This window comes from Homo sapiens, chromosome 2, assembly GCF_000001405.40.
Source record: "Homo sapiens chromosome 2, GRCh38.p14 Primary Assembly".
In the NCBI taxonomy this organism is placed as follows: domain Eukaryota; kingdom Metazoa; phylum Chordata; class Mammalia; order Primates; family Hominidae; genus Homo; species Homo sapiens.
Window position 1 is genome coordinate 66,918,450 of NC_000002.12, and position 27,459 is coordinate 66,945,908.

The 27,459-nt window shown below is 38.3% G+C and overlaps 2 long non-coding RNA genes across 2 annotated transcripts in view; one reads left to right on the plus strand and one right to left on the minus strand.

Moving 5' to 3' along the window:
- LINC01799 (long intergenic non-protein coding RNA 1799) overlaps positions 1-27,459 on the plus strand; it is a 67,031-nt gene that overhangs the window by 14,014 nt on the left and 25,558 nt on the right. The window contains exons 2-4 of the long non-coding RNA NR_110169.1: positions 14,654-14,800; positions 16,454-16,523; positions 26,839-27,025. This is a non-coding gene — a long non-coding RNA (long intergenic non-protein coding RNA 1799). The remainder of the gene's footprint in view (positions 1-14,653; positions 14,801-16,453; positions 16,524-26,838; positions 27,026-27,459) is intronic.
- Positions 3,061-4,041, minus strand: LINC01628 (long intergenic non-protein coding RNA 1628). The gene is made up of 3 exons (NR_110600.1): positions 3,853-4,041; positions 3,716-3,773; positions 3,061-3,243 (listed from the first exon to the last, which is right to left on the minus strand). It is a non-coding gene; the product is annotated as a long intergenic non-protein coding RNA 1628 (long non-coding RNA).

Consider the following 27,459-nt stretch of genomic DNA (forward strand, 5'->3'; position numbering starts at 1 on the left):
AGATGTGTTTTATTATAAAAAACAGCCATCCTCTAGTAATAGCAATGGCTTTTCTCTTTATTACTTATATGGTTTGGCTCTGTGTCCCCACCAAATCTCATGTCAACTTGTGATCCCATGTGTGGAATGAAGAACCTAGTAGAAGGTGATTGGATCATGGAGGTAGATTTTCCTCTTGCTGTTCTCATGATAGTGAGTGAGCTCTTCCAAGATCTGGTTGTTTAAAAGTGTGTAGCACTTGCCCCTTTGCTCTCTCTCTCCTGCTCTGCCATGGTAAGACATACTTGCCTCCCCTTCACCTTCTGCCATGATTGTAAGTTTCCTGAGGCCTCCCCAGTCTTACTTCCTGTACAGCCTGCAGAACTGTGAGTCACTTAAACCTGTTTCCTTCATGAATTACCCAGTCTCACGTAGTTCTTTGTAGCAGTGTGAGAATGGACTGATACAATCACAAACACCAGACTTAATTTTTATACTCTTTAACCCAAAGATGCTCTCAAAAAGGTTACCTTTGCTTCAAAAATCAACACACAGAAAACTCCTGGTGTGACTACAGTTGCAGAAGCAATATGTAAGGGGAAGACCTTTTATGACACTTTACTTTGTACTTTATCTTCTTATGCCTTGGGAAAATTAGTAACAATTTTCCTTGTCAGGATGAGCTATGCACTAAGAATCATACTGGGAGGAACCAGAAATTTAGTTCTTTTTAGCGTTTGATCATCAAACAGTCCAAGTATCTATGCCTTGTGGTCTTTTGCTGTTGGACTTTGCCCAGTAGCAGTCAGTGTAAACTTGCCTGTCATAATTAACCAAATTCAGGATAAAGCAGAATTTCTTAATTCTGTGCAATTAAAGTTGTTAAAATATTGATATACAAGTAATTGTTTTGTCTTATTTTTGTTCACTTGTTTCTTTGTTGTACCATTGACTAGTGTGGGGAAACCCCCTTAATCCAATGAATTTGATGATTGGATTTAAGAATTAAAATCACAACTACCAGATAAAACTGTGAGAGTTTTGCTATGATCCCCCTGGTGGCACTCTTTTTTGGCAACACTTCAAGTATAGATTAGCTTAGAAGGAGGCATGTGGCTCTACTATGCTCCAAACCAAACGCTAGTGGAAGACAAGAATGTTTACCTTGTTCTTTATTGTTTTCTCAATTCTGCTACATGATATAAAAAGAAAAATAATCTTTTTACAAATTCTTGTGGTAATCCTATATGTAATTATATAAATAGCTTTGAAGAAGTCTACTTGATTACCTTCTTGATTAACACACTAAAAGGTCATCTTATCCTTCCACTACCAAATTGTAAAAGAAAGAGGAAGACAGCACATATGTGTTTAGTGGCCTTATAAATGTGATGCCATATCTCGCATTTTTCATGCTCGATTGTGGCAAGACCACAGGGCTGTAGAACAGGACTATGTCGTCTTATGCTTGCTTTATGTATGACCTTAGGCAAGTTGCTTCCCCTCCTCTTGGCCTCAGTTTCCTTACTCTTACAGCTGCTGGTCCAGTAGGTATTCAGGAAACAGTTTGGAAAATGACTCCTTTCTGCCTTAAAATATAATGTTTTGGGTGGGCAAAAATGAATGTTCCTTCTTTGGGATCTGGGCCTTCCATCTTAAAAGATCTATTTCCCATCAAATTTTCTATAGTATGTGCTTATGAGCCTCAGGTGGAAAAACAAGTAGTTAGCCTTTGGAAGGGCTACAGGTATATGCAACCTTCCTGACATATAAATTGTTTTAAAACGGGTTTGGTGAGACATGAATATACCATTCCAAATTCAAACCCAAACTCAAAATTTGTCTTTTCTGTTTCTTATTTTCCAGGGATTTCCAAGAATAGCCATTTCATAGTTCAGCTGTGAAATAAAATCCTCATATCACCATCCAGGGATGTTGAACCATAACTAAGGGGAGCTAGAAAATGTACAATTTGCTCTAATGGCTTCCACTATGATCTTGTGAGGTTTTTATTATTATTACTATTTTTAGTAATCATCTCGGCAATATAATCAGAGCAAAAAAGATTCTAAAGGCACAAATCAAAGAGGAATCTTAGTTTCCAGTAGGAATAGCTTCTCAGTCAGTCGCCTTTCTTCAATCTTCTGGTTTCATGAAAGAGGTGATGTCATAATTTATGATGTTAAGCTGACTAGTGAAATGTCATTGTAGAAGTGATGTTTTAATTGATGATGTTAGGCTGGTTAGCAAGAAAGTATCAAATGTCACTTTTCTGACATAAACTGGCAGTTACAATTATATAATATCAATTATTCTTTGGAAAACTGCATTAGATCAGTTAGAGCTGAACCAATTTAGTTTAAGCAGGTTCATATTTTTTTTTTCTTAGCTGCTCATCCAGTCCTAATTATTAGGTGTAAAATACACTTTGGACATAGTTTAGACTTTGATAATGTCCTCTTTGGAAAGGTAATAGGTGTCTTACATGGCCTTTGTGTTCCAAAAGAGGTACAAGCAAAGTCTGTAATGACCTTCCTGAAAGGAGGCTGCACCTTGAATTGCTTTAGCAAATCATCCTCCTCCCAAATTACAACTCTTGGAATTATTTTAATTGTTAATTGCAATTGTTAATTCCTTCACATTGTGAAGGAATAGTTTTTAAAAAGTCATAGCTTATTTTGGTTTTCTATGCATGTCAGCTGCTAAGTTAATTTAAATTTAACCATAAAATACTAAGCACACTTGCCTCTGCCCGTTCCTTTGCTTTACTAGTAAAAAGAAAAAAAAAAGAAGTGAAGAAACATTTTCTCAGATTCTTTCTCCTTTACTAGGACATCATTTTGAAAATGTGATGAGTTAGTTAGAAGGATATAGGAACTCACAACTCAAAAACTGAATGATAAAATTAATATTAATAACAAATACCATGATATCAATAGCTACTATTTGTTGCAATTGCTATATCCAGGCACTGTGCTAATCCTGTAGATGCAGTCCCTTATTTATTCCTCACAACAAATCTGTGAACTAGATATGGTTGGTATCATTTTTCATAGGAGAAAAAAGGAGGCTTACAAGTACTTTGGCATGAATCAGAAAATAAACATTTTATAAATGTTAAGTATTTTCAGGAGTATTAGTATCATTTGGTGGGAGGTAATCATGGCGAAATACATCAATGGAGGGAGTCACCTTTCTCAACCTCTGTCATCATTATACCCAAGGTGAAGCATGGCAGCTGAGTCCCAGTGTGAAGGTTCAGTGCTAGCAGAAAGAAGAGCAAGGAGAAGTTGGTGAAGCTGGGGCAAAGTGAGGATATGTGTGCGTGCAGGTGTGTATGTTTGTACATAAATTTGCATGTGCATGTTTGTGTGCATGTATGTATGCACAGGTGTGTGCAAATGTAGACTTGTATGTACACGTTTGTGCACATGTACGTACATGTGTGTGCACCTATGTTTGGGGAGTGGGAACCAGGATGGGGAGGAAGTATAGAGTAGTGCCAATACAGGAGTGATATCAGCCTCCTTGAACATATCTAGTGCAACCTGACAATCTGGTACAGATTTAAAAACAGGCCATCGCTCTAGAGGAGAGTCCAGGAGGTGCCATGTTGAGCTTGGCATTAACTGTCCAATTTCTGGATTTTGGGCTGGTCCAGCAGGGTAGACTTATGGGAGAGGGGTCAGAAGGACTAAGGCAGGAGGTAGGCTCTGAGGGGGTGGTGTATACTTACCACATGGCACAGCTGTATTTCAAAAACTGAATAGCAGATACGGTCCTACCATTCAAAGCTGAGGACATAAACTCATAGATTATTGGCCTTCTCTTGTCCCTCCCATATCTCCTATTTCCAGTTCTATCCACACTTACTCCAAAGTGAGCTGCCTTCTTTCCACTGCTATAGAAGGGATTTCCTCCAAAACATTGAGCTCATAGCTTTTTTTCAAACACTTCAATTCTAGAGGACTGCTTTCCTTCTTACAGGTATTATGCCTTTTTGTGGGTGTGTGTGTGTGTGAAAACTAGAAAAAATTCAAACCTGGGGCTGAATGAGTCCATTGGAATCACAGAGGAATGTGAAGTTTTAAGACAATATCAGACATTCTAGAACTTGGGTGAAAGGTTTTCACATTCCCTCTCAGGCTCTGTCAAGCCACATAACAAAAATAAATTGATCAATAAATGTGTCAAATGAGAAAACATCACATTCTTGTCCTTGGCAGCATTGTATGGCTTCATGATACTTCTTCATGGCAGATTATTGTATGTGCCTCGGTCCAAGTCTCTTCCCTTTGTTCTCTTCTCCTTCTCTACCTTGGTTTCACCTTGTTTTAGGAGCAAAGCCAACCTATTTCATTTGGAATCTGATGAAAAGACAGAAATGGTTCCTGGGATTTTGAACTTTCCTCTCTTACTCCAACCTACAAGAGAGGCAACTCCGGAGGACGTAGGACAAATAACAACTAACACTTGTCTAGTGCTTTGTGATTTTGCAAAGTGCTTTTATGGATAAACTCACTGTTTCTTACAACAGCTTTGTAACATCATGATTATTGTTTCCCCTGACAGAAAACAAAATGTCTCAAATAAGTTAAGCAAACAGCTTATAGGTTTTCTGAGATACCATGATGTCTCCAATGTAATGTGGGATTTTTTAACCTATCTTCACTCTGGTTATTAGGAGAAATCCTCAGCACCCATGCCAGGACTCTAAAATCCTGTAGGCTTGAACGTTTCCTTGTTTTAAATAATGACCACGACTCTCTTGCTCACTCACTCACTCCAGTTCTAATGGGGACTTGAAGTCAGTGGGTTAATGCTTTTTCCTCTTTCCCTTTTTCTATCCCAGGAAATAAATACCTTTTTGAGATATGTTTTATTGAACAAATGCTGATTGAGCATCTATTATGTGCCAAACACTGTCCTGTGGCTTGGAATATGATTGTTAGCCAAATCATGCCTTTCTAGAGTTTGCATTCTCATGGAGTGAGGCCTAAAAAAATTTTAATAATGAATTGTGGCACTAGGTGTTCTATGACAGTTCTTTTCATTAGAAACAAGTCACTAGGTTTAGCTCACAAACAAGGAGAGAGGATTACACTGGGCATGTGTACCAGTAGTTGGTGGTCTTTGGAAGCCATTTTAAAGAGATTTCTATAAAAGGATCTGAGCATGTCTCTCAGAGGCCCAAAATATCCTCCCCCAACAATAACATTCTTAATAAATAAAATCTACAAGCCAACTTCTGCCTTCATATGATGATTTTCTGTGCCTCATACCTTCAAGTTCTATCTCTTAATTTCTACTATGAAACAAGAAACTAAAGACTTGAGGTGTTACCCTTTTGAGGGTTAATTTCCTCTCCACAAGGGTTTTCCACATCTGAAAATCTTTTTATTAGATAACTCTTAAGCATCATATCTGATCTTCTAAGCCACACCTATATCCTGTGGCAGCCACTGTTGCAACCAACAGTTCTGTGTAGGCTCCAGTGAGTTTCCAGTAGGTACGGTTTTGCTTCAGGCCCAAAATGCACACCTCTTGCCTCCGGCAGGTGTGGAGTTTCTTTACTGATGTCACTGCATTGAGAACTATAGAAACTTAGTGTTCAAGAATATGCATCCTGAAAGTGAGAGTGCTTAATACCAGGTTAGAAGAAATGTTCACCAATGGGGACTGGAAGTCAATGGGTAAATGCTTCTTCATTTGACTTTTCCTGCCTCAGGAACATTTTGCAAAGCATTTCATTCTGCTTCTCAGATGAGCTCACAGGACTGAGCAACTGGTCACCCATGGTGATATACTTGCATGGGCTCTCCCTCCTCCCTTGTTTTATTCTGGTTCCCTGGAACTACATTTCCAGATAAATTACTCACACATGGCCTTTTTCTTACACTTTGCTTCTTATGGAATCTAGGTGAAAACAGCCTTTAAGGTTTAATGCTTCAAAAAAGAGTGAAATCAATGCATTTCTGATGATGAGATTCTGTGCTATATACAATACACCTAAGCTTCAGTAGTTACAATGGCATTTTATGAGGTATGTGACTTACATGATGTTGCCCATGCTTGGCACTGGAATATTCATTCTCATAGTCAGTTACCACACTGGGTTCATGCATTTCTATTATGGTAGTTAGAGGGTTTTTAAAATTTGAGCCATATAAAATGAAGATGATAATAACAACAAAAACAATGAGTAAGACTCACTCTATAATGATAATCATATGATGTTTTGTAAGTATTTATACATATGCACTTATTCTGGGCAAAGTTCTCAGGATGGACACCAGCAATGACATTTGGTACAGGCTGAAACTCAGGGGCAGAAGGGTCAGTAGGTCCTGAGTTCTCTACTCACCCTGCAGGGCTGTGCTTGGCCAGGGAAGCTACTGGATGTACCATGAAGCAATTACTCTGTTGAAGGAATCTCAATCTCTACTGCTATCCCTTTTTATAAGGCTATTGTGTGAGAATACTTAGCTTAGGACCAGTGTTTTTAAGGATGTTCTGAAAAAAATATAGATGACCAGCATCTGGAAATCTTAGGGTTTCTGGTTACTTAGGAAGTGATTTGGGTGTAGTCTCTCATGCAGTCTCAGACCCCCCTACCAAAGAAGGAGCCCATTAGTCACAGCTAGGTCATTTTAAGGGAAGCCAAGGTCATTGTCAGAGAGCTCCAAGGTCATTTATTAGAAAATCCTACCCACCTCTTTACAAAATATAACAGATACACAGTGGGCTTGGGTGATGATTTTCTACTTCCTCACAATTTAGGATTTAGTGATAACCTTTAGCCAGTGTGGTCAAGAGAACATTCCTGAACTGCTTCTCATTCTTTATTTGCCAAATTTGGCTCCTATCCCACATCATTTACAACTCTTGGTTGGGCAAGGTATGCTTCTGGTTTCAAAGGCTTTATTATTGAGTGTTATTCTTCCTTAGGCCCTTCACAAGAGCAGAGTCATCAAGTTGAGTCCTCATCAAATGGTTTTCATGGAAATCTTTGCCTGCATCCGTCATCCTCTGTGGACTGCTAGCTGTGGCTGGCTCTAGGAGGTTGCTGTACCTCTCTAGCTCTTAAAGCCATCCTGCAATGTCTGCCTTCTCCATTGCTGGATTAATAGGTTATCCTATGGACTTTGAAATAGGCTTGCTTGGTGGGTATTGGAGCCATGCAGGAAAAAAAGGACATTAAAACATTTCTTTTACAAAAAAATTTTTTTTGCTTGCATTTGGAATCGAAAATAAGTTTTTTCAATTCCAAAATTGAAAACTTTTTGTACTATGACAAGGTACTCTCTATGAATAACACCATTAAATTCCCTGTCAGCTACCCTGGCATAAGAGGAGATCCAAGGTGTTACCATTTCATTTCATTGCTTTGTAGGTTTCACTAGGTAACAAGATAAACATGTCATGTTAGGGCAGCGATATTGTGGGCACCTGAGAGATCTTCTCAGTTCCTTTGGTAGGAAAGCTTCTAAAATGGCCCCAGTGATCTCTGCCTCCTGGCATCTCTGTCCTTCTATAGACTCCTTCCCTTGTATTTGGTCTGAAGCTAGTGACTCGCTTCTAATGCAGAAGTGATGGTGACTTCCATCTGGAAGGCACCCTCTCTTTTCTCTTCATTTTGCTTTCTTTGATGAAGCAGGCTCCCATATTAGAGCACGTGACATCATATGGCAAAGACTTGAAGGAGGTCTCCAACCAACACCCAGCAAGGAAAGAAACCCCCAGCCCAACAGCCACGAGGAACTGAATCCTGCTGACAACTGAGACAGTCAGCTAGAAAGCACATCTTTTCTGTTAAAGATGAGAGGACCACAGGCCTGGCTGACAAGTTGATTGCCTCCTGAGAGAGACCCTAAAGCTGAAGACCCAGCTCATCCAGCCCAGATTCCTTATCCACAGCTAAATAAATAGTTTTGGGGTACTTCATTACACTGCAATCGGTAACGAATGCAGTCCGGCTCCAATTACAGGGGTTAGGAAGCTGTCTCTCTTTTGTGAGGCATTGCAACAGCATCCTCTGGTCATAATGCCCAGGAAATGTCTGTAATCTATGATCTCCTTTGAATGCAGGCAGCCATTTTCCACTCCTGGATTACTAAGCAACATTCAACCTGTCAGAAACTAGGGCATACAAATTCTATTATAGCCACTATATTTAACACAAGAGCCTGGATAATAAGGTCAGAGACGTATTTTAGAGCCTTAGCCTGGCATCACATCTTTTCTGGACTAAGGGCATTTTATACGGTTCTGATTGAAAATAGCAGTTATTTTTCCCCCTGATCGGTTATCTTTACTGAAAATGCACATTGCTGCCGCTCCTGACAAGGAGGACTTGTATTAGACACCGTGGGCTTGCACCTGAATACCCGAGTGATGCATTACATGAATATAATTTACATAATGAGCCAGGCAAAAGGCATGTGTTAGAGTGTACATGCTTGTCAACATTTAAAAATATTGCAGTCTTGACAGAGAGCTGCCTCTCAGAGTGAAGAAAAGAGTGATACTTATCCCTCTAGCCTTCAAACTCTTATCTGTTGGCATGCCACAAATATTACTCATGGAGGAAATTCAGATAATTCACACCAAGAAATAAACCTGTTATAGGTTCAAATGTTTATAAAACTAGCATATTGGACTTATCTGGCTACCTTAGAGCAGATATTTTTTTCTAATTTTTCAATAAATATGAAAGATTAAATTCAAGCACCAAGTGAATTTTATGGTTAAGTCACAATTTATAAGTGGGCATTAATTAACATCAGATAAAAATGAGATTCCTAAGGAATTACATTTTGCCTTCTCATTAGTGGCTGTTTTGTCACTATAAACCTTGCTAGAATGAATAATTGAGAAATTATAATAAATAACTATATTATAGGAAGGTCCTGGGATAATGAAAACTACAGTGTTTGGCACAAGTTTTAGTCAATAACCTCTAGATCTGGGTCACATGCCATCCCTTTGGCTACCTCTATAACCTAAAGATTGATTAGGCTCTAACAATTAAACTTGAGTTTCAGGATTATTTTAACTTTTTATCAGGTTTGAACTTCTGAGATCAGGTAAAATGAGCTCTAGAGATTCAGGTGGAGTTTTCAGATTACTGGTAGTTTTTTTGTTTTGTTTTGTTTTGTTGTTTTTTTTTTGAGACAGGGTCTCACTGTTTCACGCAGGCTGGAGTGCAGTGACACAATCACAGCTCACTGCAGCCTTGACTTCTTGGGCTTAAGTGATCCTCTCACCTCAGCCTCCTGAGTTGCTGGGACTGTAGGCATGCACCACCATGTCTAGCTAATTTTTAAATTTTTTTCTTTTTCTTTTTTTTATAGAAACAGATACTCACTATATTGCCCAGATTGGTCTCTAACTCTTGGGCTCAAGTGATCCTCTCCCACTTTCCACCTCAGCCTTGCAAAGTGCTAGGATTACAGGAGTGAACCACCATGCCCAACCTACTGGTAGTTTTAAATAAACTTGCTAGTGGACTTGAATCAAATGCATACCACATCAACCGAAAAGTGAAATATTTCCTAGTTTGCTTTTTCCCCCATATTTTGAGATTTAGGGATTTACTGTTATGATATCAAAATGTATCTCCTTGATAGAAGAAAACAATATACAAAAATGGCTATTTTGCTCCTTAAAAATTCCACCCAACTCCATCTCCCCAAGGTATACCTTGTTTTTATTAATTCCACCTTTTTAAAAGGCAATACAATTTATAAAATAAATACTTTTATTGTACCTTTAAAATTTTTAGTTCTTGTCCTAAATAAAGTGTTTAGAGGTATCTTTTGATACTGCAAGTACTACTGTTACCTTGATCTAGTCACTAAGTATTAATAAGTGCAGCACCAGACCAAGGGCCACATCATCAGCTTTCCAGGCTGACTCCTGTACCTCAAATAAGGAGGCCAAGAATGCAAAAGGAATAAAAAAATTCTGACATGCTGCAGCATTTATTTGCCCTATAACCTACTGACCTAGACAGGTTTTCTGGGGTAGGAAAGCATAAGCCAAATGCTGACCTAAATGGAACCTATCAATCCTGCTCGAACGTTAGCCAGCTAGTAATTACCTTACACAGTAACGGTTGAAATGCCAAAAGAATAAAAAGGCCTTTCCTTTTGGAATGAAAGGTGGTCACCTGTACTTTCTGGAGGATGTGGCCCTTACCAGTCTCTGGTGCTACCCTGCAAGTGGACAATGATGGCATTGATAAGTGGGGCTTCCCCTAGCCTGCTGGCTTTCTCTCTTGACCTTCACTTCCAGTGTGTTCCCACTTCAGGTCCTTGCATTAGAAGTTGCTTTTGCTAGAAGGCTCTTTCTCACTGTTCTTCAGATGATCTTCATTTGGCTGGCCTCTTTCATTTAAGGATCCATTCAAAGGCTACTCTCTGTGATTAACCATTCAAACTTTTCAGTTACCTTTGAGTTTTGGGTGGATGCATTTCTTGAGTCTCAAATCGCAAATCCATTATTTACTAGCTACGTAAACTTAGACAACTTATGAAGACTATCTGTACTATAATTGTAGATGGATGTATTTATGTTTATCCTTCATTATTCCAAAAATGATTTAAGATAACAAAGTCTGTTTATATTATTTGGGTGTTTCCCATTTGTAGTACCTTGACATTTCTCTTTTTCTTCTCAATGGCCATAATTCTTCTCAATAACCATAGAGAAAGGGGACTTTTTCTATCTTAAGATAGAATGGAGAATAAGAGAATTGAGGCAAAGTCTTAACAGGTCTGGTAAAAAGGATGTTCTATCGTTGAACTCTAAAAATATTCATTTACCTTAGATTGCATACCTTTCTCTGAATTAAACAGCCCAATCAGTATGTAGAATACCAAGACAAAAAAATATCTAAACACACAGAGCCAAGAGGTTTCTGGATAATGAAAGAAATGTAGAACTTCTTTTAGGATTAGGATATTTTTTTTTAGAAATGCAGTGTGATTATGATGTTCAAATCCCCAATTTAAGAAAGATGAGGTAGGTGATACTACTATGTCCTTTGTTAGATAAAGAAAATAGTGACAACAATAAAAGGATTTTATAATTTAGGTTTTAAAATCCCATTGAGATGATATGGTTTTACCTGATAACCTCAGCTACATATCTGACCAGCTGCAATTATCTATTTCGTATGAGTAAATACATTCCTTCTTTACATTTGTCCCATGTAAGAAATCCCCACCCACTAGAATGATTTTGTGACACAGTGACCTATTGAACGGAGACTCCCTTTAAAACTGCACGTTCCATTGCATGTCTTCAACCTTTATCTAGGGCTGTCATTCTCTTTGTAGACTGCACATTAAAGTTACCCGGGGAGCTTTTAAAATATGTCCATGCCTGAATCCTAACCACAGAAATCCCAATTTAATTGTTCTGTGGTAGAATCCAGGCAATGGTATTTTAAGAACACCTCACTAAGGTGCAGCCAGGTTGTGCAACATTTTGTGCACAGCCAGGTTGATGATTTTATTTTCGCACAGCCAGGTTGATGATTTTATTTCTCTTTCTCTCATGGCAATTGTTGAGCACACTCACAGGACCAGATAGTCTCAACCATGTTCAAGTTCACATGTGGGGCTTACGCAACAGGGAGATCACCTAAGACCCCAAGTTCTTTCCATCACAACCCTTTACTCAGCATGAAGAGGAGAGGAGTCTGAAGAGCGTTTCCTTTTAGCAGGCTTGGCTTCTCTGTGTTGGCAAGGTGCCCCGGGAGAACTGGCTTTCAGGCATGCACGCAATGGAATGCAATATGGACCTTGACATTAATCAGACTGTGTTTTTTCCTTTTCTCTGCAAAAGCACAGCACAACCATAAGGTGAAAAGTTGGGGCAGTTTCATCCTGGCTGGATTCCCCTCTCTCTCTCTGTTGTTGGGGAACATGAAGCCCTGAACTTCAAGCACTTATAATAATGTTTAACAACAAGCAAAGAGCTCTGGTCAAATTTCTGGAGGGAAAAGCAGTGAGAGGTTGGAAGTCACCATTTTCTTCCTGTTTAGGAAATGAAGCTTTTAATTATTTCTAGCTATGCTATCTCTACTGAGTTTTATGTCAGGAAATATGCACCTGGTGATAGCCTGTTGCTGAAGTAAACTTCAGGCTTTTTTCCCTCTCTTCCTCTTTCTGGTTTCCTCCTGCAACTTGGGTTCATGACAGCTTGTTGTTGGGCAGGGCATTAGCCTTTTGTAATTTATTGCTTTTAGATTAAATCTGGGGAAACTCAATATTGCAGTTGAATGATTAGAGCAATACCCCTTGGAGTAATAAATTTTCTTTGGTGCTGTGCATCTCCAGATCATGTTTCCCTTCTAATTACATTTACATAAATGATATTCTGTAAAATTAAATTAACATTCAAACGGTTACACTGGCAGGGAGATACAAAAATTAGTTACCAAGTTGCATCTCTTAAAAAAAAATTTAGTTCTTTTCATAATATGAATCACTACCCACTCTCAAGTGTCAGCAGTCAGCACAACCTCGGTGCCAGAACTGCACAGGGATGTTTGTCACCAGTTAATGGAGATGTTTTGTTTCTTTCTTGGAGATTTAGACTGTAAAGCCTCATTAGACAGTGAGTATAGTGACTTTTTAAACTTGGCTGCTAATGAATTGCTAATTTTTCTTCAAACTTCTTGCCTTCAAATTCTGCAGTGATCATGGGGAATGTCCAAATTGAATATGCACACAGAACTTTGTTACTGTCTTTGCCTTCCTCGCCACCCACCCAGAATCTTTTTCAAGCTTTGGTTTTCCAGCCTAGGCATTAACAGAAGGCCTGTCACGGGTGACATCAGGATCTCCCTACTCTTTTATTATCTCTTTACCACTTCGGGATGTTTCCATTATAAAGAGTTTGGGTTTCTTTAGAAGTTGCACTACTTGGAGGGTTTGAATCAGAATAGTCAGAAAATCTACAGCTTCCTTGACTTGGCTAAGAATGTTACCTCCACCATGTTTATCCTCAGAACAACTTCAGAACCATATCCATTATGACTTTCAGTAAAACTAATCAGTGCCATGTCTAAATGGATGATCCATCCATTTTACAGCTTGTTGATTGATACAAAATGTCATTTTATTTATGTTAAAACATATACATCTATCTATAGGAAGATGTTTACCAAAACATTAGCAGTAGCATCCCTGAGCAGTGCATTTTTCTTATTTATTATTGCTTGTATTGTTTGAATTGACTGTGTACTATTTTTATTAAAAAACCAAAACAAAACAGTAAGTTACTGCAAAAGAAGCATCTCTTCATGTCCTTGAAGTTCAGGTGAAGAGATGCTTACATGGAGTGCTGGTGGCACAGGCTGCAGCTGCTTTTTTCTCCCTGTTAAGCACCAGAACCTGTGATTCCTCATTACCTGGATTTGGCAAGACTTTGGCCACAATTATACCCCTAGATCATAATTACATGCATTGAAATGCCTGATAAAATGTGGCTGTCAGGAGTCCACTCTCACAATAACCTTTTAGTGACCATCATTGTAACATAAGATGATGCAATTAAAAGAAGAAAACAAATACCTCTTTTCAAAGAAGCCTGTCCTTCCCAGATCCTCGCCCAGATCAGTCTACCTGGACTCCACCACATCTAACAGGATTTCTCATAATCTCCTCTTTCTTGGGCTTACATTCACTTAAGACTCAATTATTCATTTCACATGTTTGTATTGAGCACCAGCAATGTGCCAAGTACTGTGATTGTCACTGGAGATAAAATGAGAAGCAAAAACATATGTAGACTAGGCATGGTGGCTCACACCTGTAATCCCACACTTTGGGAGGCCAAGGCGGGTAGATCACTTAAGGTGAAGAGCTCGAGACCAACCTGGCCAACATAGTTATACCCTCTCTCTACTAAAAATACAAGAAAAATTAGCTGGGTGTGGTGGCATGCACCTGTAGTCCTAGCTAACCGGGAGGCTGAGGCAGGAGAATCGCTGGAATCCAGGAGGTGGAAGTTGCAGTAAACTGAGATTGGGTCACTGCACTCCAGCCTGAGTGACAGAGCAAGACTGTCTAAAATAAAATAAAATAAAATAAAATAAAATAAAATAAAATAAAATAAATGTAGCCCTTGTTTTCATAGAGATTACAATCTGCATGGAAAGACAGATGTATAGATGTTAAATAATCATATTGATAAATGTTTAATTACAAACTGAGAATAAACACAGTCCTAAGGAGAACATAAACTCAGAGACTCTATCTGAAACTGAAGATGAGGGGTGATGCTTGAGATCAGGGAAGCCTTTCTAAGCAAGTGAGACTTTAGTTGAACTGAGATGTCAAAAATGGGTCTAGGTGAGCCAGGAGTCATGGAGGGTAGTCCCAGGAGGGAGGAGGTGACTTTGCCAGTTCAAAAGAACAGCATGAGCTCATGCCCTGCACCAGGAGGGAGCCTGCCATGTTTGATACCAAAGGAGGGCCATTGTGGCTGGATTAAAGGAAGCTTGGGGAGAAAGGTAATGAGGTTAGTGAGACAGGTTAAGTGAGATATACAGCAAGACCTGAGGTCATGCTAATGATTTTGGTTTTATTATCAGAGCAACATGAAACCATGGAAATGTCATAACCATGGGGGTAACATAGTCATATTTCCATTTTTAAAGATCACTCAGTATGGGAAATGGATTGTGGAGTAATCAGAGTGGCTGTGGGGAGACCTCTTAGGAAGAAATTACAGTTCAGTATTCTAAATAGGAGGAGTAGCCACAGAGATGGGAAAAAAGTGAATGAAGTCAAAACATAATTCAGAGGTAAGTTTGGTAATAGTTTGTGGTGGGAGAAGGATAAGCCAGTGGCAAAAAATGTCTCTTGGGTGTCTCGCTTTATAAATAAATGAGTAATGGATGATGGAACGATTAGGGAACATGAGAACAGACCTTCCATGCGTGACATTGTAAGGAAACTTCACATACTCCTTTTACCCTGCCATTGATAACGACTTGCTGAACTTACCATTTCAGCTCCCTCTTCCATCAGCTGCCACAGTCCCATTGTCTTGAATCTTGAGAAGAGCTATGAAGCTATCAAAGATGATGCTTAACTTGAAACTCAGTTCTTCTATCTGGGCTTTATCTGGGAAAAAGGGCTTCCTGCCTTCTAATTGATTTGTTCATTATTTCTGTTTGTATCAAGAGTTAATTTATAGTATATCCAAATACATATACTAATGAACCATGTCCTAATGGAGTTCTACACTGTGCAAATGCATGTAATTCATTTTATACCTCTCATGCAGCACTTATATTATGCCATAAATCACAGTTATTGTCATACTTGCTTTATCTCCCCTATAAGAATTCAAGCTCCTTGAAGACAGGGAGGTTGCTTTGTGTAGTTTTATGCCTCACATAGTACCTAACATAGTGTGACTCACATAACTAAACATCAATATTTATTCACTGATTCTGTCTTCAATGACCAGGGGCTGTAGGCTCCCTAGGAAAAGCAATTGCAGTTATCCAGGTATAGGGTGATAAGAAATTGAGGTAGAAAATAAAGGAATACCTATATCTAGCATGGAGTAAATATCCAATATATATTTGTTGATTGATTGAATTTTAAGAAGAATTGACAGGTAAAGAGGGAAAAGGTCAAAGTGAAGGATGGGAAATATACCCATAGTTAATAAAAAATGCCACTCTCCTTCATACCTCACCTCTGGTATATGCTGTTCCGTTGCCTGCAACTCAATAGCATTGCTTCCTCTGCTTCCTATGGTATTCAGCCCAGTGGTCACACCCTGAATAGCCCTTCCCTCATTGGCTTGTCAGAGATGGCAGTATCTTCCTTTACAATCTCATTGATCGTACAGACTATTCTGTCATTCAACACCTTTTTTCCTATTTGACGTATACACCTCTCTGTTCTCATGGGACTTCACAGGGTCGGCTTCCAGCACAGAAGAGGTACAATAACAGGACAGATGGGTAGAAGGATAGAGGGCTGAATAGGGATCCACACATAGTTGACCTTAATTTCAGCAGTACTTACCATACTATCCTACCTCTAAAATACATAAATGTGATTTTTTACCTGCCTGACATTCCTTTTAAAGAAAAAATAACTTTCAAAAAATTATAGAATTACTTTATTCTAGAATTACAAAGTTCAGGTTAAATGGTTGCATGCTATGCACCCAGTAATCACGTATGGGATGAATGACAGATTGATGGTCACTACCACTGCCCCTGGTATGGTGCTAGGTGCTTTGGAAAGGAGGAGAAGTTTTAGAAGATGTGGTTCATGTTCTCAAATTATTTTTGATACAGATAAGAGAAAAAACTCAATCAAATTAAAGACAAAATATGTGCAAGTGCAGGATCACATACAATCAGATCATTTGTGCCATTGCAGTTTTCATAAGGAAGTGGGTGAATGAGGGTATGCTTTCATTTTTATACCAGGAGAGGCCTCCCTTTGTTCTTCATAGCCACCTTTGGATTTGTGAGCCCTCACATCAGGATCTACTAACAGGTACTTCCCTTCTTTGTCATTCACTTACTTTTTTCACTGCAACTCAGTTCTGAATACCCCATGCACATGAGACCTTCGGCTCAATCCCTCCCAACACCATCTGCATGCTATGGAGGACCAAATGCTTCTGCAGCCCTGGCTTTCCCAGGTGGGATGCTGAGTGCAGCTCTCAGAGCTGGATCCAGCCTGCTGGCCTCTCAACTGCCTCCATCTGGGCCTGCTATTAGTGGATGGATGCCCAAAGCATGGGCTCACCCACCCGAGGTGAACAAATGGGACCAGTGCTCCAGAGCTCCTTGGGGAGAGCTATGAAGACTGGTCACTGGAACCCTTCATTGCCTGTGACTTATACACCAGGGAAAGTTAGAGAAATTTATGAGTGGGCACCATATGCCAGCCCAACATCTGCTTCCTCATATGGGTCATGAATACAAGACAGTGCTAAGTACATTAAAGATGAGCCTCAGGCATGTACACAGAAAATGCAGTTTAACTGCTTAGGGGGATGAAGATTCCAAGGCACTATTAGGAGGAGTTTTCATACTCATTTTTTCAAATTGTAGAACACAAAATATAAATATAGGTAATGCTGTTTGTTCTCTTTAAGGGTGCTGAGAGTCCCTGAATCCTTTCCTTAGTCTTCTTCCAGGGGTCCCTGAGCTACTCCCATCAGTGCTGTGATTCTAAAAGACACAGTTTCAAAACAACTCTTTTGGTTGGTTGAGAAAGGAGAGCTGCCTTTTTTTTTCTTTCAGTATTTTCTGCATTAAACCCTGGGGAAAGACATTTAAACATAAAATGTTTGGATGAGGGGTCATCACAGATTGGACCTTGTTTATCAGTATCTCAATGAAGTCAGTTATGAAATTGAAGTAAACAATCAACATTCTTTTGATAAGCTGAATGCTTTGCAGAAGAGAGGGAAGTACAGTGCTGGTATCTTGATGTTGTTCTTTAAACTTTCCAAATCTACTGGACAGCAAAGTCGTGTTTCTACTATACTACTGCTCAGAGCCAGGTTGTAATATCCAAGTCTTGGTTGATAGTGTCACGCAGGCAGTCATGAGAGCAGGAGGAAAGTGGTGAACTACAGTGATAGTGTCACCCTCAGATTTTGCCGCTTCAGTTTTAAAAATGATGATGATGGATATCACTTTGGAGCCTAGATTTTCTCAGGACTGTACATGACAGGGTTCTGTGGAGTAATATTATTTAAATATTTGTCTGAAAGGAATAAAAGTCATTGTAATATTTTAGCCAATAAAAACACCTATTCTGACAACCCACTGTTACATAATTTGGATTTGGTTAGAATTTGAAAATTTCTCTTTTTGAGAGTAAAATGACGAGGTAATAGTAAATGTCCAGGCTCTTTCACTTGTGTGCCGTTGGACAAATTGCTTCTCTGGTCCTAAGTTTCTTCATCTCTGAAAGGGGAATAATACAGGGATATGGTTTTGCTATGTCCCCACCCAAATCTCATCTTGAACTGTAGCTCCCATAATTGTCACATATTGTAGGAGGGACTTAGTGGGAGATAATTGAATCATGGGGACAGTTTCCCCCATACTTTTCTCATGGTAGTGAATAAGTCTCACAAAATCTGATGGTATAAGGGGTTCCCCCTTTTGCTTGATTCTCATTCTCTCTCGACTGTCACCATATAAGACGTGCCTTTCACCTTCCACCATGATTATGAGGTCTCCCAAGCCACATGGAACTTTGAGTCTATTAAACCTCTTTGTCAGTCACCCAGTCTCGAGTATGTCTTTATCAGCAGTGTGAAAATGAACTAATACATACAGTAATATAACCCAACTTATAGGCTAGTTGGAATGATTAAACCCAAATTTATGAAGCACTTGGACAAGTGGCACTCAAAAAAAATTGCAGTTATGAATCATTTTTTAAAGCAAGTCACTGTTCAGGCAGCATGGCATAGTGAATTATATTATGAATCAGGCATGTGAGTTCTAATCCCAGTTCTACCACTAAATGTGTCTGTTAATGCCTTGGGACTTTGGTCCCTTGACCTGTAAAAAGGGGTGTTTGGGCCAGTTGAATTTGAAGGTACTTCTGATTCTAACAGTCTACAGAGTTCTGAACTATTTTGGTCAATGGATTGCTAAGAATTTTGGCTTTTGAACTGACTGATAGTCAGCATATGACCCTTTGACATAAAATGGTGTGCTAATTTCCTCCCTTTTTGACATCTCACTTCCTCTATTTATTCCTGTTGTCCATGAATTCCACCACTTAAAGGAAAATTAAGAACTAGTTTCACTTACAATAGAGAAATACTGAATTTTCTTAAAAAGTTTCATTTTTCTGCTATTCTATTTTTTAAAAATTAGTAGCTTAAAGATATGAGTCTAATGAGAGGAATAGAAAAAATGATCAGTTTCCCAGCTCTTCCTAAATTAAGATTTCACAATATTATTTTATTAGTTTGAAGTGAATTTCTAGAATTTTAGGCATCTTTATAGTATAAATGTTAGGTTGAAAACATTCTAAAACAAAATATGATGTGTTTAGCCATTTTGATGACTTTTTATTCATTTTTTAATGTTTCTCTTCTATTGATTTGGAAATTCCAAAAATAACAGATTTTGAAGTTATACCATGGGTTTGAGGTGATATATGATAGTATCATCCACTTCGGGACACTTTATTTGTTGGGGTCAATATTAAAACTTCTATTTATATGTTTTTTTATCTGATTCTACTGTTATAATTCTGTATATGCTTTATAAAGAACATGATATATTATTGTTATGTACAGTAGTACCTGTGGCACTGCCTGCTCAAACATTATTTTGGTTGGGGATCTAATGGAAAAGGTTTGGAGGCCACCTCTTTGGATAAATATAGCATGCAACACTGGTCCCAAAGGGCTGCAATTTTGAACAAATAGTTTGATGTTCATAAATTCATAAATTGAGTGTTTATTGAGCACATGCTGTGTGCCTGATACCGTGCTAAGCACTTGCTGTTCATATGATTTTGTTTATAAGTTGTGCTTCTTAAACTGGAAGTGGTAAGTTTATATGGCACATTGTTGGGAAAGATCAAACACATGGCCATAGGATAGAGTTTATTTGTGTCAGATTGTCCTCTCTTTACTTGAGTGGCTTTAATCTTTTACCTCCACTCTTCATGCATGCATGTTTGGCAAATTGATAAGTGTGAGACAATCATACACAATGTGTATGTCTGAAAACAAATGACAAGAGACCTTCTCACAGGACTGACAGGGGGAAAGCTCATGCCTGCAAAGTTTGGCACTTTGTGGTTGGCTGGCTGACTGCTAGGAGAAGGAAGATTAAAGAATATTGAAAAGAGGCTGGCTGGAATCAGAAATAATGGGCTAAGTTTTAGAAGCCAGCTGGAGGCGGTTCAGTGTTCCAGCTATTCAGCTACTCTCCCAAGACAGTGTAATGTGTCATCATTAAGGCTTAGAATTCATAAGAGAAAGAGTTAAAGTTTAGGGTATCTTAGGACCCCAAATTAATTATACATTTCTTATATGAGGTAGAATGTGTATATGACTTTTCCCAAGGCAGCATGTGGGCTCCTAAACTTACAACGTACATCTATCTTTAGGGAGCTTGTATTTTATTGGAAACATGGTCCTGAAGGGCTGCTGATGCATGTGAACAAGTACAGTCTTGAATTTGGAGTCTAAACCATCTTAAACAAGGTTGGTGGAATTTGTAGGGAAGGTTAGAAGGAGAGAAATAGGAAGGCTAATGAGGAATAGCTTACCTGATTCAGAGCTCAAAAATGCAAGTCATGCACAGATACAATGATTGAGTTACCAATATGATTTAGACCAATATCAAATACTGTCATGGAGCTCAGGTCAGACTAGGAGTTTATTCAATGCATCCATTAGATAAAAACATACTGAGCACCTGCCACATGCTGGGCATTGTTGTTAATCCTTGGGATACATAAGGGAACAAAATGATAACAAAGAAAAAAGAAAATTTTTAAAATCCTTAACATTTTGTAGCTCATATCCAGTGAGGTGTCAATGAAGGTGACAATATATTCGTGACATTTTAGGACAGAGTAAACATGAGTCATAGGTGAGAATTAGCAATGTGACAGTCGACTCACTCTATGTGGTACCTCACCATGATGCTGTGAGTTCTCTTCAGAACCATAGATGGTAAGAGAGGAAGAGCCAGGTGTAGACAGAGAAATGGTAACAGAAAAATCTATATTCAAATCTTGGCTCTATCATTTATTAGTAGTCTAATATTGGTCAAGGAATTAAACTCTTTGCTTTAGATTCTTCATCTGTAAAATGAGGATGAGAACACCCATCTCACTTGTCTGTGGTACAGATTAAGAAACCATATATAAAATGCTCCACAGGAGGTGACTTATAGTAAAAACTTAGTAATTTATATATTTTCCTTTTACTTCGGACAAACCTAGTTATCTATGACAATTATATAACTTTCTCCCATACTCTTAAGAATGGTATATAGGCCATGTTATTACCTTTTTTACATTTGAGGTAAACCAAGGCAAAGAGCAGTTGGGTGAATGTTTTGACCATGAATAATTCTGATCTCTGCTCATCAGACAGCCTTCTGTAATAATCTTGATTAATCTGCCTTTTTCTTTCCATTTTAGTCAACCATTTGAGGTTGACCATTGAGGTTTCTGCCATTGGCAATCTTTTTATATTTTTCTATTCATTTTGATCAAAATGCTTCTTAGTGGAATGGTTGAAATGAAACAACCACAAAGACTTATGTGCAAAATGTGGAAGGAGACAGTGAGGGTCTGATGTTCTTAAGTATGTCTCTGCAACTCTGCAGGCAAAAAAGTAGGTCCTACCTCTGGGATAGTAGGACCTCTGTGGGTTCAAAGTTCCAGCTCAAGGTGAGAAGACTCGAGTAACTTCATAGAGATGATGGGACTGTTGAAGGAAGTAACATCTAGAATGTCGAGCATTTTGCTTGGCACATAGTAGGTACTGGCTTTTCCTTCCTCTGTGCCTGGCAACACCATGAAATAAAACTCGGCTTTCATGAGATTATATGGTAGATGAAGCAACTTTGAATATACATGGTTCTATATCAAGGTAGGAAACATGGTAACTTCATATGAAAATGAGGAATTTATAGAACAAAAGAACTATGTTCTTCAGTAACACTGGTATCCTTGCAGCTGGAAAGACATTTTTCTTAAGTGGTTGGAGCTTGTCATTTGTCTAGATACATCCTATTTATGGTGACTTTCTCTAAAGCTCATGATTAATGTGGGCTTTTAAAAATTGTTTTTCTTTGTGTTATGTTTCTCTCCAGTATGCCTGAATGTTGGTTTTAATTAAATTTAGGAAGGAAGAGAAGGGGGGTTGGGTGGCCTGACAAAGTTGAAGAGCATCAGTGAAAATCACATTTATGTTTTGGAGCATGGAATTTGAAAATGGAATAAATAATACGAAAGAGAGGACTTCTCCAAATGGGAAAATAATGAATATGCTTAAACTCTTTTGTATTATTCTCATTTTGGCTGAAGATGGGATTCTTGATTTGGGAAAAAGTTTTTTTAATCATTAACTCTATGTATTTTATACATACCACCCCAAGAATCACCTTTCTTTTTGTTTTATTTTTCTCCAGAATAAGTCATTATTTTGTAGAAGTGGATTTTGCTCTTTAATTAATCATATGTTTACTTATGCGACTTTAGCTATAATGTAATTGAAACTTGGAGCAAGGCTATTCTGCACTGTGCTAAGGTTAATTATGCAGTGATGAAACTATATTACTTTTGGCTAAAATTTACCTTTACTCAGCATACTGCTTTTTTTTTTTTTTACAAAAAAGTACAAATTAGTAGCATAAGTAAGATTACTTAGGAAAAAAATTGTTTTCAAGCACTTAAATAACCTACCTTCATTTATAACAGCTATGCTAATTAGAAACTAGTCTCATCTATTTCTCAAAGCAGTTCCTTAAGAACTTTCAGTCAGCAATAGCATGAATGGATAGACCTAGACGAGCTCAAATTATTGTGGGTATTTGGGAGTCGTAAAACAGTATTTCTTCAAAATATTTTCTTATCTAGATTTTTTAATGGTTTCAACCTGACCTTCCCCTTGGCTAGTTCAAATAAGTAAAATTGGTCTGCATTCCTAAATCATTCCTGAATGTTCTAAGTTCCAACTTCCAATCAGTGGTGTTTGCCTGGCAGTACACTTCCTTGTGGGCTGCCTCTCACCTGAGGCAGTAACCAAGCTCACTAAGAAGGCTGATTAACCCCCTCTCTGAAATAAGATTAGGGTTTAAAGTGTGCATTTTTTAATGAAAAGGAAAACTCTAAATTTAAGGCAGTCATGCTTCTTGTAGGGAGGTCAAAGAGTGAGTAGATTATGAGGTGCGGGAGATGAAGAAGGGAGGAGGAAGATTTATGTGCTCTGTGGTATTTGAAACCAATTTACAATTGGCCCCTGGAGTCCAGAGATTTACATATTGTGTAGTTTGAAAAAACGGATGTGAAATTTTAGAGTAACACTCAAAAGTGCCTCTTATAAGCTTTCTTGGTCAATAGACTCCCTGATTAATTTTAAAAATAAAATAAAAAATTGAATATTGAAAAAAAATTAATTTGCTTGAATACATAACCATTTATCTGGCAATATTGGGCAATGGTTAAAGGTACAAATTTAAGTATTCATGAAGCTTTGTGAATTTGGGGAAATTTCTTAACTTATTTATGCCTCACCAATATAAAAAGGGTAATAATAGTAATGAATTAAACCCTACACACTCAGCATAAAAGAATTCAACACTATATGTTTGTTAAAAGAGGAAGGAAGAGAACAATAATTTAAATTGCAAGAATGATTCCATCTGCCATTGAACTCAATATGTATTTTCCCTGGTAAACATGAGACAGGAGATATGAATCTGCTTTTTCCTCATTTTGTCTTATTTCCTGAGGTCCTCTTGTGATATAAGCATTTCAACTAGCTTAGGGTGCTTCTATTGTTTAAAGATACAGTGTACACTTTTGTGCAATAGGATCCTAAATGCATAAGCTGCTATTTATACCTGGGGATCCACTGACCAGTGATGGAGATCAACTGGCTGGGCCCTTCTTTTTGAGAAATGTTTTATCTGTCATTAACATGATACCTTTCTTCCCTACGCCTTTTCGTTAAGAATATGGATGGTTTATGTTTTCTGCTTTACATGTTGACTTTAGAACTTCACTAAGTATGATGTAGCTCCACCTTTATGGCTACTCTTAAAAGGTAGTTGGTTCATAGAAACTGAAAGTAGAAGAGTGGTTAGCAAAGATTGGAGGGAAGGAGAAATGGAAAGTTACTGTTTAATGGGCACAGAGTTTCTGTTTAGGATGATGATAAAGTTTTAGAAATGGATAGTGGTGATGGCTGCATGACATTGTGGATGTACTTAATACCACTGAACTGTATGCTTAAAATTGGTTCAAGTGGTAAATTGTATGTTATGTATATTTTACCAGAATAACAACAAAAAAGTAGTTGAGGAATTTCTGTGAGAAAATAATGCATAGCAAGCAATTAGCACAAAGTCATGAAGAGCTAATGTAAATCAACTACAATTATTAAGGGGATAATTTGGTTACTATTACTATTCGGCTATGGTTTATACATCAGGACTATCTACCTGATTTTATGCCTTTTGACTCAGCCTAATTTATACACAAGCAGGGATGGGATGAAATGTTTCTCCTGGCCCCTAGGTACATTTTGGGACATAAATCTCAGAACTCCTTTCTGGATCCATTAAGTCCTTGCTCTCTCTCTCTCCTGCTGCCCACATCTCCTGTGTTCCTGTGTGTGCCCAGTGTGGGCATGCTTTTTGGGTTTTTGCTTCCACTTCTGTCTTTATAATCACTATTTGGACTTGTCTATTTTTCTCTATTATTCTTTATTCTCAAAATCATTTGGGATTCCTTTTCCCATTTCCTCTACTTCTTTGCCCAGGATCATTTTCTATGTGATGAGCCTCAGTCCTCAATCCTCAGTGCAATGATTAGTGACTCAACTGAATGACCTATGTACCAGGCTCGGTCCCAGCCCTCTTTCAAGATGATCAGACATAGTTTCCAGAGTAGGGACCCAGAGGCCTCTGGAGCTTCCTTTTAGAACCATTTAAGGCTAGTCTTCTAATTGGGACAGAGTCCCTGCGTGTGGCTGGGAAAAGTAAGACAACAGAGATTGAGGACCTGGTGTGAAGAAGGCCAGGAATTAGAGAAAACGCAAAGGGAGCCAAGGTCAGAAAAAAAATAGTAGAATAAGAATGATAGAAAGTGTTGAGAACATAGAGAAACCACACTGAAGTCAAGGAAATGATCAAAGTTCTGTATAGACAACTCTGACCTGGGACTCAGTGGCTAATTACCTCTCTGAGCATAGCCAGCTGTTTAAAGTTACAGACCAATTCGCTCCTCTACCAATCTTCTCCCCTCTTAAAATGGCTGCAGCTGAATCTGCATTACAGTGTGCAGAATCATAGAGAGAATGTAACTCATTGTCTTATTTTCGGATAAGGCATGACCCAGAAAAGGAAAATGCTCTGCTCCAGCTAACCCAGCTGTTCAATGTGTGCGGGGGGAGGGGGAGGCAGGGGATCTGGACTTCAACTCAAATCTCACTATTTTGAGTAGTCCCCTTGTGCTGCATGGACTCCCATGGGTGAGGGCCATGATGATGGAGTTGTGTAGAACCATACCGAATATAGCACCATATGCATTGTAGCAGGTAATAAATGCTTCTTGATGGTGGTGGCAACGAAGATGATGATGTTTATGGCCATAGAGAAAACTCCATTTAGATGAAATTAAATGATACTGCATGGAAGAGAGAGGAAAATGCCAAGCTATTTAATGGCTGACATGTAAGATGAATTTGGTAATGAAGCTTGGGGACTTACCAGGCCAGAAAACTTCATTCTCTCATTATATAGTCCTTAATGACCCACTTATTACTAATATAAAGGGAAAGATATACATATAAACACATGTTCCTGAATGTTTGGCTGCAAGAAATGAAACCAGTACACCAGCTTGAGGGGTTAGCAACAGACGCTGTTTCTGTATGAATGATCAAATTTGCTGTTTTCCAGCTGGAAAATGACAACTCAAGTAAAAGGGTAAAGGATGATGTGACTATACTTATACAAAAGACAGGAGAGAGTAATGTAAAGAGAGCAGGTGGAGCTGGCTAACTCTAAGAATTGCTATGGGGAAACTGGAAGAGGAAATAGATTTATTTGGAAGCATGACTTATGTCTTCTTTTGAGATGTGCACTTCTAAAAGTATTCAATTTTTCACTTATATGGCATTTATTTCTCTGACAAACTGAATTATCCAAGATATCACTGAAAACTATCAGGGAAACCAAAATGGAAGCCACCTCTGTTGGCAAAAGCATATGCACTTCATTCTTTAAGAGTTCTTCTTAGGTCCTTGATCAGAATTCATTCACTCTTATTTGACACCCAGTCTTAAAGAGTTACCTGGTTTCCTATCTCATAGCAAATTATAAGTAGTGCAACATAAGGTGTGAATGGCACATTCTTTAGGAACAGAGCAAGTGACACATGACAACTTGAAAATGAGAGGAAAGAAAGAAAACCAGGAAACAAATAAACAAAAGAAACTTAGAATAAAAAAGACCATAGTGATGTGTTGTCATTTACTGCAGAGAAGTTCCTACATATCACTTTGCTCCTTTGGGGCATTGCTGATTTATATCATAGCCAAAGGGACTTTGTGTCAGTCATGGCATCTGAAGATTTAGAGGGTTAGACCAGACAATCTCCAAGGCCCCTCCAAAAAAAAAGAAAAAGTTTTCAAAAAAGATTTTGATGCTATCTTCACTGCGAAGACCATATTCAGACATGGTGTACAAATATGGGCCCCTCCTCCTCCCAAAAATGTTGGCAGTTGAAGCATTAATCTCAGTTATCTGGAAAGGTGTCTTCCTGGGAACACTATACCATGCTGCTGTCCCATTGATGTGGCCTTGGTTTGGCTTTGCCAGAATTAGAATCTCGTGTCTACCATGTATTAGTGAATGACCCTAGGCAAGGTACCACCCATTTCTAATCCCAGGTTCTTCATTTGTAAATTGAAGATTATAATATCTACCACATAGAGCTGTTCTAAGTCTTAGTGGCTTGAACCAATATGTGTCTAGTGCTTAGCTTAGTGGCTAAAACATAGGAAATGTTCAATAAATATTTGTTATTGCTGTGTTGTTGGCAGTAATAATAACAATAATTTCCCCTTCTACTTTAGTTTATGTCCATGCTGCAGATATAAAGGATGAAGTTGTAGGGCAGGAAGTCTTATGTAACTTGGAGCAGCTACTCAATGGAAATCACAAACAGAATGAGTTTCATCCACATGTCAAGACACTACTACCAACAGAGCTATTTCAGGACACCTACCTAAATAACTAGCTGTCTCTTCCACTTAAAGCAAGGTATGTATTAGTTTAACATTATTCAGCTTATATGGTAATTTTGTAAACTTTATTTCGTTTGGCCTTCACAATAAACTTGTGAAAGAAATACAGTCCGCCCCTTATCACAGATGAGGAATGGGCTATTTAGGATTTAAATAACTTGTCTATATTTATCCAGCTCTAAAACAGAAATAAACTTGAAGTTTACACTCTGACTCTAATGGTATCTCCTTTTGGTAATGCTGCCCAAATACTACAATTGATAGCTTACAAAAGAGTTGTTAATGATTTGGGAAATAATTGGTCTTGGGACTATGTGTGGTTTTTGCTGCTTTAGAGAATACCTTGAAACTGCATAGAATTGGATGAGAAATTCACAGTAATTCAGAGAAAACTGAATCAAAGCTTTACTTTGTCCAACAAATACTTTATCTATAGATAATTTGATAGTA